At 58.9% G+C, this 13,220-nt stretch overlaps 1 protein-coding gene across 28 annotated transcripts in view, besides 4 other annotated features; it reads left to right on the top strand.

The window, feature by feature from the left end:
- SLC45A4 (solute carrier family 45 member 4) overlaps positions 1-13,220 on the top strand; it is a 101,115-nt gene that overhangs the window by 79,469 nt on the left and 8,426 nt on the right. For 20 of the 28 annotated variants that reach the window (XM_011517179.3, NM_001286646.2, XM_011517171.3 and 17 more), the window contains 5 exons: positions 7,055-7,243; positions 8,991-9,170; positions 9,791-10,809; positions 11,631-11,730; positions 12,850-13,061. In XM_011517179.3, coding sequence (XP_011515481.1) covers positions 9,140-9,170; positions 9,791-10,809; positions 11,631-11,730; positions 12,850-13,061 — 1,362 coding nt within the window. In that variant the 5' untranslated portion in view covers positions 7,055-7,243; positions 8,991-9,139. Of the gene's footprint in view, positions 1-245; positions 642-7,054; positions 7,244-8,990; positions 9,171-9,790; positions 10,810-11,630; positions 11,731-12,849; positions 13,062-13,220 lie in introns of those variants that run through there. The other 8 variants (NM_001080431.3, XM_011517174.3, NM_001286648.2 and 5 more) reach the window with 2 other exon arrangements.
- Positions 163-1,016: an enhancer, noted in NCBI's record as "H3K27ac-H3K4me1 hESC enhancer chr8:142237903-142238756 (GRCh37/hg19 assembly coordinates)". NCBI's record gives its function as "activates a minimal SCP1, AML or CMV promoter by ChIP-STARR-seq in primed H9 embryonic stem cells {active_cell/tissue: H9 hESC(primed)}" and the evidence as "EXISTENCE:reporter gene assay evidence [ECO:0000049][PMID:30033119]".
- Positions 5,614-6,352: an enhancer, noted in NCBI's record as "H3K27ac-H3K4me1 hESC enhancer chr8:142232567-142233305 (GRCh37/hg19 assembly coordinates)". NCBI's record gives its function as "activates a minimal SCP1, AML or CMV promoter by ChIP-STARR-seq in primed H9 embryonic stem cells {active_cell/tissue: H9 hESC(primed)}" and the evidence as "EXISTENCE:reporter gene assay evidence [ECO:0000049][PMID:30033119]".
- Positions 6,353-7,092: an enhancer, noted in NCBI's record as "H3K27ac-H3K4me1 hESC enhancer chr8:142231827-142232566 (GRCh37/hg19 assembly coordinates)". NCBI's record gives its function as "activates a minimal SCP1, AML or CMV promoter by ChIP-STARR-seq in primed H9 embryonic stem cells {active_cell/tissue: H9 hESC(primed)}" and the evidence as "EXISTENCE:reporter gene assay evidence [ECO:0000049][PMID:30033119]".
- Positions 9,129-9,664: an enhancer, noted in NCBI's record as "H3K27ac-H3K4me1 hESC enhancer chr8:142229255-142229790 (GRCh37/hg19 assembly coordinates)". NCBI's record gives its function as "activates a minimal SCP1, AML or CMV promoter by ChIP-STARR-seq in primed H9 embryonic stem cells {active_cell/tissue: H9 hESC(primed)}" and the evidence as "EXISTENCE:reporter gene assay evidence [ECO:0000049][PMID:30033119]".

The raw sequence follows: 13,220 nt of genomic DNA, 5'->3' as shown, positions 1-13,220 counted from the left end.
ACTTTCCTTTCTCTCTTCCAAGGCCTGGGGTAGCTGTTGGCTTCTGGAACTGATTGACCCCTGAGCTTAGCCAGGGCTGCAGGACATGGCCTGACCTGCATTTTGTGCTCTTCAGGAAGCTTCCGGAATCTCAGGCCAAAGGCCATACGGTTGTTTATACAGCTACGATAACATCACTGTGTCATCACAAAGATGTTTGCTTGTTGCAACATCTGTTTTAAAGAGCCGAGAATGGGTGGCTGTGCTGATAGGGCAGAGAGGAGCCCATGCTCCAGCTGCGGGGAGTGCCTGCCCGAGGAGCTGGCCAGTGAAGACAGGTGCCTGCCAGTGAAGACAGGTGCCCACAAGCTGGACACAGGGTCGGCCCTGAGACAGGACAGCAGCTGCGGAATGTTCCCGCTGGCTTTCTGGAGCGCCAGCGTCCTGCTTGGGTCTGGCCAGGGGCCTCTAGCCAGGCTGTTGAGGCGCCCCTCCTTGTTGAAGAGGAGAAACAGTGGCCCCCTGGGAGTTGCTGGGAGGTGCCTGGCACAGGGCGGCAGGGACAGCATCATCTATGGGGAAAGCAAGCCCAGCCTCAGGGCTGTCCCGTCCAAAGACCCTTGTGAGTCCACTGAGGTCAAATCAATGGAGTCTTCAGAAAGGTTAGAATGCTCAATTTCAAAACTGCTGCCTCCACCCAGATCACTCCATCTAAAGCTTGCGGTGAGCCACAGCCTCTCGGGCACCCAACAGCTCCACTCCACACAGCTCTCCCCTCAGGGCTCTGCCTCACCCTCTAGAAATGAGGCGCTGGGTCCTGGGTTTCAAGTTTCAATTCCTCCTCTCCTACAAAAGGCCAAAGCCCGGGAACTTATTGTCCCCGGCCCTTCAATGCCAGATTCTCCCACAGGGTTCAGAGAGCCATGGCTGGCACTCCGGGAGGGGCTGGGTGGGCCGTGGGTGTTGGAGTGGGAAGGCGGCACATGTGAGAACACTCAAGGTGCTGCTGTCCCCTCCACCCTAAATGACGGGCCGGTTTGTAGTAGGCTCAGGAAAAGCACCTGAGCTTGCCCCTCTTTTCACCCCCTCCCTATCTTCCTGTGGCTGTAGTGGTTCTGGAACATTCCTTGCAGCTGTGGGGCCCTCGCCAGCACAGAGCCTCAGTGCCGGGGGCCCAGTGCCAGTGGCCCTTCCCCTCTTGCAAGCAGGTGGCCCGAGCCCTGGGGGCCCGGCTCCCCCGGCCCAGTGTCTTTCCTGTCTGGGGCCCTTCAGAAGTGGCTCCTGACAGTGTTCCTTGACTTAAATTCATCAGAGGTCACTCAAGGATGCTAAGCCTTTCCCACGCAGGACTTGTGCTCACGAGTTTCGCCGCACTGTGGCATTTGGTCCCAGCACACAAGCGTATCTTGATGTGGAAGCTTTGTCCATTGAAAGAAAGAATGCAAGTTCCTGTTCCCATTGCGGATCTTTTGTTAAACATTTATAGGCGACTTTCCCACTCCTTGCCCTCCCCACCCCCCGCCAGTCTCCCCTCACCAGAAAGTCCCAGTTTATCACACACGGCACTGTGAACAGGAGCCGCCACACGTGACCCGAGCGTCGCCCGTGACCTCACACAGCCTGCGGCCGAGCGGTGACACAGTATTTCCTGTGAACGGAGAGCCTTCCTGGTCTCACCATTGTTGTTCAACTTTTCCCTGGGAAAAAACAAAACTTATTTACTGGGCCCAGCGTTGTGTGTGTTTGGAGCCGGGCTGGGAAATGCCCCGTCAGAGCCGTCCCAGTGGCAGCCCCCTGCTACGAACGGGGGAGACCGAGTTCTCACCGCCGGGGACGTCAGAGCAGGACCTGCGAGGCAGGGAGGCGGCAGCTGTGCCCTCCCGGGGCCGTTTTGAAGATACGATGAAAAGTGTTTATTTTTCTTGCCAAGGTGCTTAAAACAAAGGAAGCTGTCCCCTGATACTCGGGACCACTCACTCCTGCAGCCTGGCTCTGTGGGCACCCGGCAGGCGTCCCGTGGCCGTGCTGCCTCAGGTGCTGGGGACTGAGATGGAGTCGCTGACTTCCTATTGGGCTTGAGCTTTCCTTGCAGCCTGGAATTCACTTTTAGGCTGACTGGGGAGGGAAGAATGAGACAGACACTGCTGGCCCTGTCCCGGCCCCCCGGCCTGTCTCTCCATCCTCGGCCTGACCTGCTCATGGTGTCTGCGGCCTTCACCCCGTGACCACTCCCGAGGGAAGCCGCCTGCGACCCTGGCAACCCTCCTGCCTTGTGTACCCCAGTCGTGGGTCTCCTGCTCTGGCCAGATTCTGGATTCCTCCAGAGGGGACAGGCCAGCACCTGGGGTGGCGCCAGGCCCACCGAGAGGTTCAGCAGCGACAGCTGTCGTTGGGTGTAGATGCTTGGTGCCAAGGCGTGCCGCCCCTTCCAGGGAAAGCACGTGGGGCAGGGCACCTTGCGCACCAGCATTGAGAGCACCCCAGCAGGAGGCCCGTGTGCTGCTCGCCGCACTGAGCATCGTGGGTGGGAGGCACGGGCGGTGGTGCCACGGTGGGCTCTGTGTCTCCACTGATCCCCTTTGAATGTGCCAAGTGCCAGTCCCGACGTGTAGACTTGGGGTTGTCCAAGCAGAGGGGAAAGATGGAGAAAGGAAGCCCCACAGTGTCTTGTTGAGGATTGGAACGCGGGCCCTGACACCGCAGGGTGTAAAGTTAAAATCACGATGTCAGGCCATGAGGAACGGTCCAAGGCTTCCAGGCACAGTCCATGGCAGCTGTGTGGTTTGAGGGGCTGACCTGGGTCCCAAGGCAGGCCGGCCAGATGTAGGGGTGAGTTAGTGGGAGTCAGAGAGAGGCGTGGGGAGGCCTGACCTAGGGCTGGGGGCTGGCAACACAGGAGAGACCAGGGCCGGGGCCGCACGGAGGCTGGGGCAGCTGTGGGGACTATAGGAGTCAGAGCTGAGGGCAAAGGGGAGGAGGCTGGCGGGTGGAGGTGCCCAGGGAGGCCTGGGGCCGGGTCCCACCAGGCTCTGGAGGGGCCTGTGGGACAAGGGTGGAGAAGCAGCCTCCACAGGAGGACTGGGAGCCGAGGGCCTGGCCCGGGCCTAGCGGTTCCCCCCAGTGCCCTGTGCCTTCTTGTCTCCCGGGGTGAGAAGCCTCCCTTCTGGGCTGGGGACGGCTGCCTGGTCCAGGGCTGCTCCGGACCCAGCGTCTTCCCGGCTCCCAGGGTTGGCAGCACAAAGGCGGGACAGGCCTGTGCACGCAGCGCCTCCTCTAGATTAGGTGGGCTGGGTCGCACCTGCAGGTCCTCCCCACCCTCCTGACACCCAGCCAGCGCTTGGGGCAGAAACCAAGTAGGAAGGTGATGGCTGGAAGAGGGAATGCCTGGGTTTCTCTCTTGGCACCGCTTTTAACCCGACTGTTGGCCTTCGTTGACGCAACACAGGGTGGCTGAAACTTGGATAGTTAACTCCACTCTGCCTTTCTTGAAGAACCCACAGGCAGAGTTCGGGTGGAGTTAGGAGATGGGGCGGGAATTTCAAACCCTCGTGTTAAATAAAACCATGAACACTCTCAGAGGAATATAGCAGTGTAGTCTATGACACATCATTCACAGTGTCTAGGATACAACTCAATGTTATTAGACATGTTTTTTTTAAAAAAGAAAAGGCGACCGTTGCTGGAGGACGGCAGCAGTGGAGGCTGACCCACGATGATGTCGCGTGTCGCACTGGTCAGATGGGTGTGCGTAACTACACCCAAGGACAGAAAACATGCTCAGAATGGAGAGCACAGAGTCCCAGCAGAGAAATGGAAGCTACAGAAATAGAGCCAAGTGGAAATTCTAGGTCTGAAAACTACAGTATCAAAATAGAAAATGAACCAGATGGGGTTAACAGCAGATTGGAGGGGACAGAAGAGTCAGTGGACTTCATGATATGTCAACAGAAATGATCATATAGAGATTAAAGCCTGAAAAAAGAAATGAAGAATGCTCCAGGAAACAGAGGGATGATCTCAAAGGTCTGATGTCTGTCATGGGAACCCCAGAAGAAAGGAAATAGAGAATGGGATGTAAAACCTTTGCAGGGGCAGGTGCAGTGGCTCACGCCTGTCATCACAGCACTTCGGGAGGCCGAGGTGGGCAGATTGCTTGAGCTCAGAAGTTTGAGACCAGCCTGGCCAGCATGGCAAAACCCTGTCTCTACAAAAAATACAAAAATTAGCCGCCGGGTGTGGTGGTGCACACCTGTACCCAGCTACTCGAGAGGCTGAGGCACAAGAATTGCTTGAATCCAGGAGGCCGGAGGTTGCAGTGAGCTGAGATTGTGCCACGGCATTCCAGCCTGGGTGACAGCAAGACCCTGTCTCCAAAAACAAAACAAAACCAAAAAACTCACAGCTTTGAAGTAAGACGTAACGGGATGAACGGGATGTTTTCTAAACTTGGTGAAACGTATAAATCTACAAATTCATAAAGCTCCAGAAAGCCCAACCAGGATGTGTGTCCAGAAATCCCTGTCTAGGCTTGTCATTGTCAAACTGCTGAAAAGCAGCAGTAAAGAGAATCTTTAAGGCAGCCAGAGAAAAAAGGATCCATGACATACAAGGGGACACTCATGGGAATCACCACAGCCGCCCTGTCAGAAACCATGGGGTTCAGGACACAGTGGATCACATCTTCGAAGATCTGGGCTGGGAGGAATTAACCCAGAATTCTGTGTGCAGCAGAAATATTCTTCAAGAGTGTAAGTGTAATAAGGAGAGTTCAGACAGAATCCAAGAGCATTTGTCGTCAGCAGAGCCCCTCCTATTAGAAATGCTAAAAAAAAAAAAAACTACAGAAAATCCTTCAGGATTAAGCGAAGGGATATCAGATGAAAAGTCAGAGTTTTCAGAAAGGAAAGAGGACTGCTGGAAATGGTAAAGTGGTTTGGTTCAGGTCAGCTAGTGTTCGAGCCCTCTGTGGGTCACAGGTCCCATCTGGTGCCAGACTGGGGTGAGTGGTGGAGAGAGAGGAGTGAGCAGCTACGGCCCTCTGGGGGCACGGTCTCTCGTGAGTGCATGTGGGTGGCCGAGGTGGCTTCAATGCTGTGTGGAAAACGCAGGACCTGGCGTGCGCAGGGTTGGCGGGGGCCTCCTGGGTGGATGGCCCCCAAGGAGTTTGAAAAGGGACAGCAGGAGGGGTTCCCAGGCAGGGAGGTGAGAACCAGCGCGCTGCTACAGGAGGCACCGAGAGCCCTTCTGGGTGCCCAATCCAGAGGAGCCAGGACCGCACACAGGCTCCGCAGCTCTGCGAGGGGCTGCCTGGCACGGGTTTGCCGACATACATTGGTACAGTCTGCATGTGGTGGGAGTAATGACCGCTTCCCATTCTTTCTGAGGTTTTGAGTGTTGCGCCCTCTGCGTAGTTTTGATAAAGAGACTTTTCTGAGAAATAGGCTTCCTGATGGATCATTATTAACAAGGGCAGGGACTCAGTTCCGGTGAAGCTGAGGAACCCGGGTCTGCCGTGTAAACTCTCACCCATCCAGCGGACACGCGTCACATACTTCTCGTTTCCTGAAACATCAGTCCTTTCTGCTGACTCCGAGTAGGAATAAAATGTACCCTTCCTGAAGTTGTGTGCAGTGCAAAGGTCAAAGCAAACACCTTAAATCCTCGGCCGAATGCATACATGTTTTAGTGAGCACATTAGCAATAATTTTGAAAGGTGCTTCCCTCCTCCTCTGAAAATGATTTCCTCCTCCCACACAAGTTTATTTTTCTTGCTAGCTCAACACAATATTCTCAATGGCTTTTGGCAGTGTACAATGTTAGCCAGATGAGCCGCTGGCGTGCCAAGCACCTTTATTTCGTAAGGAAGTGTTTTACTGACGTATAGTATGGGGAGAGGGCACAGATCTCAAGTCCCCTGTGGGATGAATTGGCACCGCGTGACTGGAGCGTGGGACTCCCATCCAGATCAAGAACAGACACCCGACCCCGCTTCAGCCACTGCCCCCTGCCCCCTGCCAAGGGCAACCGGCACCCAAGTTCTCACAGTGGAGGGTCCTTTCCGCGCCTTTGGACATCACACGACAGGCGTCAGAGGTGCGTGGTCATCTGTGTGGCTGCTTCGCTCAGCGCTGTGAGTGGGCTCGTGCTCACGGCTGCACAAGGCGGCCGCTCGTTCCCGTGCTGTGGTGCTTGTGACTGCCGACACTGTTTGCCCGCCTGGTTGGTGATGGACACGCGGGTTTCTGTGATAGGGAGGCAGCGTGTCAACTCAGGGACAGAGTTTGAAATCAGGTAGCCCTGGGCTGGAATCCTAGCTGTGTGACCTGGGGTGGATTACTTAACCTCTCTGAGCTTCAGTTTCTCTGTCTGCAATAGGCACCATATTTCCTACCTCCCTGGGTGGTCAGGAAGGAGAATGTGAGCATGACAGGTGCCATCTGCAACCCCTTGGCTCCAGCTGGAGACACTCATGGTGCATCCCCCTGCCCCCACTCAGTGGCCACACAGAACAGCCTTTTGCTGGCTGTGGGGACCCTCTGCAGGACCCTCCATGGTACATTTTCAGCCAGTGAGGTCTAGAAGTCGTGGGCCCTTCCTGCCTCTGTGAAGCTGCAGTCACCGTCCTGCTCTTGTAGACTGTCTGGTGTCAAGGGACAGTGGCCCTGTGCCTGCCACCCTCAAAGTGGCCTTCAGCAGCCCTGAGGCCCTGGACAGCACCAGCAGTGTGGAGGGGCTCAGCCCTGTGTCCAGCCCTGGGCGGGGCGCCCTCCATGTGCCTGCACAGTCAGTGTGTGCTGCCCCTTAGGCTCGGGCCAGTGCAGGTGGAGCCCACTGGCACTCCAAGGCCTGGCTGCTTTTCTCTGGCCATCTGATGCTTACAGCTGGGGCTGGGTTGATTTCAGGTCATCTGGCCTTGCAGAAAAAGGAAAGTCTACCCCGTGGAGACAACCTGAGCAGGGGATGTGCGCATGCGTGCGTGTACACAGAGGCACCTGCCTGTCGCGGGGCTCCCAGGAAAACTGTGGCAGAGCCCGGCCAGTGCCTGCGTGTGCGACGGCCCTCGTGTCCCTTGCAGGCCTTCCGGAGCAGTACTACAGCCTCACCTGGTTCCTGAGCCCCATCCTTGGCCTCATCTTCACACCTCTCATTGGGTCTGCGAGTGACCGGTGCACCCTGAGCTGGGGCCGCCGGCGGCCCTTCATCCTCGCCCTCTGCGTTGGCGTCCTCTTTGGCGTTGCACTTTTCCTTAACGGCTCTGCCATCGGTAAGTTTCTCGGCCACACCTGGTGTCCTCACAACACAGACGGGGTCCTGGCCCTGGGTAGCTCCTCTCATTAAAAGCTGAATGGTGTTGAATATTCAGGCTGACCCTCTGTGGGCCTGGCTGGGCTGCCGGGGCCACCCTGGCGGTGACCACCCCTGGCAGCGCCGAAGCTGGCCCCATGTGGGAAAGCCGGAGGAACCTGTTCACAGGGAAACGCTTCCTGTTGTGATGGTTTGTTTTTAATGCGTATCTGACACCACGTCCTGTTTCCAGCATTCTTTCAGAAATTATCTTGTCTTTTTTTGTTCTCCTTTTCTTCGACTTGGTGTTAAAATGTCCAGAACCTGGTTTGATGTTTGTGTTTTGCCTTCTTGGTTGTTGTTTTCTTTTGAATTAAAGCAACTCTGTGTGGGAAAATAGTTTTTGCCTTGAGGGCACCCATCAAAACTGTTAAAACATTTTTCTGGCAAGAACTTTTTGAGACAGAGGAGCTTAATCTGTGTTCTGAACTAGAGGAACTTGCCCCGGGCCTGCACTGATGCGGAGGGAGCTGAGGGAGTTAAGCGGCAGGAGGAGAGGCCCCGGGACGCTTCTCAGAGCCTGAGTGGGCACTGGCCATGGGGTGGGCTTCGTCGCCAACAGGCGATGCCTCTGACTGCGTGTGGGGGTGCGGCTGCCCTGGCGCCTGCTGGGCGCGGAGCTGCCGGCCCCCTGCCTGTCCGTGTCCCTCGAGAGCAGCCCTCCCCTCCCTGCTGGAACAACGTGGCTTCCCAGGGCTGTGTCCTTGGGGGTGGTCCTGCCCAAATGTGACCCAGATGGCAGCCAGCTTGGGAGCCCCAGCCCCTCTGCCTCGGAGCCGTCGCCTGCCCGTGGTCTGAGGAGGCCAGCAAGGACCACCTGGGCAGAAAGCCCTTCTCCCGCGCCTCCCACGGACAGGTGTGTCTGTGTTCAGGCCTGGGTCCCGGGCTCTGGCCCGCAATTCCTCTAATCTTGTCAGGAGGGCACTGCTTGTCTCCCTGGTGGGAAGTGGAGACCCAAGGTGAGCCTCAGCCATCAACATTGATCTGGATTCAGGGGCAGACTCCCCTGAGGCAGGAGGGACATGGGTGGGACTGCTTTTGAGTGCCGGCAGCCCACTGCAGGAGGACTCGTAGGTGAGGTGCGGCCACTGGCATCTTTCTCTCTAGAGCCACGTCTCCTGAACCCAGGCTGCCCCGAGAACTTGTGTGCAAAGCCCCTAAAGTTTGGGGTGTCGTTTCCTTTCAGACCTAGAGCAGGCCCAGCGAGACCCCCTGCGCCTGCCTCGCGAAGCCTCATCAGTGTCCCCTGCGGGTTGTCTGTGGCATGAGCGCCTTTCCCTGTGGGCGTCTGCACTACCATGTGCGGCCTTCTTAGCGACAGTGAATTCATGCTTCCAGCACAGCAGCCGTCCTCTGATGGCCGGGGTAGAAAGGTCTATTCTTCCCCTTTCTGTTTGAAAAACATCAAGGGCGCGTAAACCCTTGGAGGTCTGATAAACAGCTAACCGAACGGGGAGAAAAACCCTGGAACCCTCAGAAGTGCGTGGAACAAAGCCCAACTCCTTTCCGCTGCCTCTGTGCCTAAGAGCCTCTCTCTTGTGCTGGAAGGCTGGCATGGTTTTGTGGCCGTGCCCCCTCCGCATGCCCCTTCCATGTGGCTGTTTGCTATCAGGCCCACCCTGGCCAGTGCTTGAGGACCTGACCGCCCTCCCGTGTGCTCTGCGCAGGTCTGGCCCTCGGCGATGTCCCCAACCGGCAGCCCATTGGCATCGTGCTCACGGTGCTGGGAGTGGTGGTCCTGGACTTCAGCGCCGATGCCACCGAGGGGCCCATCCGTGCCTATCTGCTGGACGTGGTGGACAGCGAGGAGCAGGACATGGCCCTCAACATCCACGCCTTCTCTGCCGGTAACGCTGCCGCACCAAGGCTGGGTGGCCGGGTTCCAACGTGCCCGGGCCTGGTGTGGGGAGGGGACAGGAGCCTGTGTTGTCAGCGCTGCCTCATCAGGCTGCATGGAGGGTTGAGGCAGTGGGCAGGGTCTTAGGGCTGGAAGGTAACCAGGGGCAGCCCCTCCTGACCACCAAGCACAGTGGGGCCAAGGCACTGAGGAGCTTCAAGGGGCAGGAGGCCAGGCCTGCAGAGGGTGACATGCATGCTGGCACAGTGAACCTCCCAGCCCTGCACTGACCTTGCCCTCCAGCAGGGCAGTACTCCCATCCAGGGTGAACGTGGCCAGCTCCGTATGCAGAGGGAATGCCCTTCAGTGCAGAGAGGCGCACACTTGCATCCGTCCTGGGGTAGTCTGCCCTTCATTGATCAAGGGGCAGTTCTGTCGGGTCAGAATTCTCAGACCCAGCAGCAGCTGCAGTTTCTTGTTTTGTTTTCCTACTGCTTTCTCCTTCTCCAGCCCCTGACTCCCATCATGAGGGCAGCCCCGGCCCCCTGTTAGAGGGAGAGGCCCTCCCAGAGCTTCCCCCCCTGTGGCCTGGTGCCACCGGCTCACCGGCTGCTGCTTCCTCCCACGCAGGCCTCGGCGGAGCCATCGGCTACGTGCTGGGTGGGCTGGACTGGACCCAGACCTTCCTGGGCAGCTGGTTCCGGACCCAGAACCAGGTGCTCTTCTTCTTTGCCGCCATCATCTTCACGGTGTCCGTGGCCCTGCACCTGTTCAGCATCGACGAGGAGCAGTACAGCCCGCAGCAGGAGCGCAGCGCTGAGGAGCCCGGCGCCCTGGATGGGGGCGAGCCGCACGGCGTCCCTGCCTTCCCAGACGAGGTACAGTCGGAGCACGAGCTGGCCCTGGACTACCCGGACGTGGACATCATGCGCAGCAAAAGCGACTCGGCATTGCACGTGCCGGACACCGCGCTGGACCTGGAGCCCGAGCTGCTGTTCCTGCACGACATCGAGCCCTCCATCTTCCACGACGCCTCCTACCCCGCCACCCCCCGCAGCACCAGCCAGGAGCTCGCCAAGACCAAGCTGCCCCGCCTGGCCACCTTCCTCAAGGAAGCCGCCAAGGAGGACGAGACCTTGCTGGATAATCACTTGAATGAAGCTAAAGTCCCAAACGGAAGTGGCTCCCCCACAAAAGACGCCCTCGGCGGCTACACCAGGGTGGACACGAAGCCCTCGGCCACGTCGAGCTCCATGCGGCGGCGGCGGCACGCGTTCCGCAGGCAGGCCTCCAGCACCTTCTCCTACTACGGCAAGCTTGGGTCCCACTGCTACCGCTACCGGCGCGCCAACGCCGTGGTGCTGATCAAGCCGTCGCGCAGCATGAGCGACCTGTACGACATGCAGAAGCGGCAGCGGCAGCACCGGCACCGGAACCAGAGCGGGGCCACCACCTCCAGCGGGGACACCGAGAGTGAGGAGGGGGAGGGCGAGACCACGGTGCGCCTGCTGTGGCTCTCCATGCTGAAGATGCCCAGGGAGCTGATGCGGCTGTGCCTCTGCCACCTCCTCACCTGGTTCTCTGTCATCGCCGAGGCCGTGTTCTACACCGACTTCATGGGCCAGGTCATCTTCGAAGGCGACCCCAAGGTGAGTGCTCGGCCACCGGAGCGGGGCCGCTCTCTCTGCCCACCTGCGGCTCACGGAGAAGCTCACGGGCTGGGCCGGGGGGCCTCTTCCTCGTGCCCACGCGTGTCAGGGAGGCCACACAGTGCCTCCCGTGCAGGTGAGGGACCCGCGGCAGGCAGCTGGCCCGCGCGCGCCTCTGGGAACTTGGTGGGGGCCGTCCTGGGGTCATGGGGTGGGTTGCAGTGAGGCCCGCGGTGAGCAGTCGTGAATGCTGATACTGGTGTGAACGGGGTGTCTGTTACTGTGTGTCAGACTACCCCAAAACGGCAGCTAAGATAATGGCCTGCTGTTGACCATGCCAGGCTCATTGGTGGCCCTTCTGGCCCCTGTGGTAACGGCTGGGTCACACCTGTGGCTGCGTTTGCCAGGAGAACCAAGGTGCCCTCAGCACACGCTCGGGCCTCCTGTCTCCATACGGTCCCTCCCTTTCTGGTCCAGTCTGAGCTGCTCCATGCAGTGGCTCCGAGAGGGCCACGGCAGAGGCTGCGGGAGCGTCACTTCTGCAAGTCCAGACCAGCCCAGACTGGGGACCGGGAGACACACAGAACCCTCCGCCTCTTGCCGCGGTGGCAGAGTCACGTCACAGAACATTCGTGGTCTGGGAGGCATGGAAATGCTTTACAGATAGCAACCGACTTGGGCTGGGCTCTCCTCCTGGATGGGACTTTCCTGTCACCGCTCTTAGAATGAGCAGCCGGCCAGCAGTTCCCATGGGAAATACGCTCCTGGCCTGGAGGGCCCAGCAGATGCCCTCGTCAGCCCCCGTCTCATTTCCGGAACAGGCCCCCTCGAACTCGACCGCCTGGCAAGCCTACAACGCCGGGGTCAAGATGGGCTGCTGGGGCCTGGTCATTTATGCCGCCACTGGTGCTATTTGTTCAGGTAAGAGCTCCCCAAGTCAGGTCAGCACTCGCACCCCAGAAAACTCAGTGATTAGAAATGCAGACGAGAGAATCCTGCACCTTAGAAGCTGGGGCCATCAGTCGCACTGACTTCTGGGTCCCTCAAAACAGGGCCACCCCTTGGGGAGAAGCATCGAAATTCCCATGTCCTCGTTTTAGGGAAAAGGCCGCTGTGGGCTGGCACCAGAAGCAGTGTGGTTCTGAGACCCTTTTGGGGCCTGTCCTGCCTGTGCGGTCCCATGATGCTGTCCCACGTCAATGGTGCCTCCAGACACGCTGTCCCTGGCCCCAGCACAGAGCTGGATGAAGGCCTGATGATCAGAGCAGTGGAGGAGCAGGGCCCAGCACGTTTCACCCTGAGGGATGGGGCCGGGGTGACAGGCTTCCGTCCTGCAGCGAGGCTCACCAGGAACCAGGGGTAATTGGGTCAGGGGTCTCTGAGCCGAGTGTGAATCGGGCTGGCCTGCCTGGACTCTGAACATGGGGAAGGCCAGCTTCATTTCCGCCTGAGCCAGATGTGAGGATGGCCGAAGTAAATGCCTCTTGGTCAGCAGCAGCCGGCGCATTGGTAAACGGCATTGTCACCGCTTGAACAGAGGAATTCTCAGCAGAGCACTTTCCCAGGGGAGGTGCCGTCTGAGCTGCCGCATCAGGAAGGGTGAGGGAAGAACAGAGCGGTGCCCATGAGAAAAACCAGCAAAAATGTGTGTTCCCGAGGCAGGACTGTCCACTGCTACCCACATCAGGAGAAGAAATCGTCCTGGGTGTACGGCCAGAGAAGGCCACTGAGCGGGCCCAGATTGGCCTGGCAGGGCAGGGGGCCCCTGGGAGCTGCAGGAAGGGCGGGGTTATGGGGTCTGGGACAAGGAGGGCCAATTTCTGTCTGTGGTGCTGGAGCCACTGGGCATCCCAGCGGGCCCGTGAGCTACAAATACGTGCCGGAGGCCTGTGCCAGCTGTGCCTGCCTGACCAGGTCTGGGTTCAGCTGGAAGGAGTGGAGGTCGGGGGGATGTGGGGGGCGAGGGGAGGGATGGTGGAGGGAGCCCGACAGGAGCCAGCCGCCTGCCCACTGTCCTTGTCCCTGTGCCCCTCTCTGCAGCCCTGTTACAGAAGTACTTGGACAACTACGACCTGAGCGTCAGGGTGATCTACGTGCTGGGGACGCTGGGCTTCTCTGTCGGCACAGCCGTGATGGCCATGTTTCCCAACGTCTACGTCGCCATGGTCACCATCAGCACCATGGGCATCGTCTCCATGAGCATCTCCTACTGCCCGTACGCCCTGCTGGGCCAGTACCATGACATCAAGCAGGTGCGTCCACCGTAGCCCTGAGATCTGCGCTCCAGCCTCCTGAGTGCCTTCCCTCCATACAGAGCAGAGCCCTGTGCTTCCCCGGGGGGACGTTCACGACACAGATGGCCCTCCTTCCTCTCCGGTTCTGAGATGGCCCCTTCCAAAGCCCACAGAGCC

Source organism: Homo sapiens, chromosome 8 (genome assembly GCF_000001405.40).
Source record: "Homo sapiens chromosome 8, GRCh38.p14 Primary Assembly".
Lineage (NCBI taxonomy): Eukaryota > Metazoa > Chordata > Mammalia > Primates > Hominidae > Homo > Homo sapiens.
This window is presented reverse-complemented; position numbering and strand designations above follow the sequence as displayed.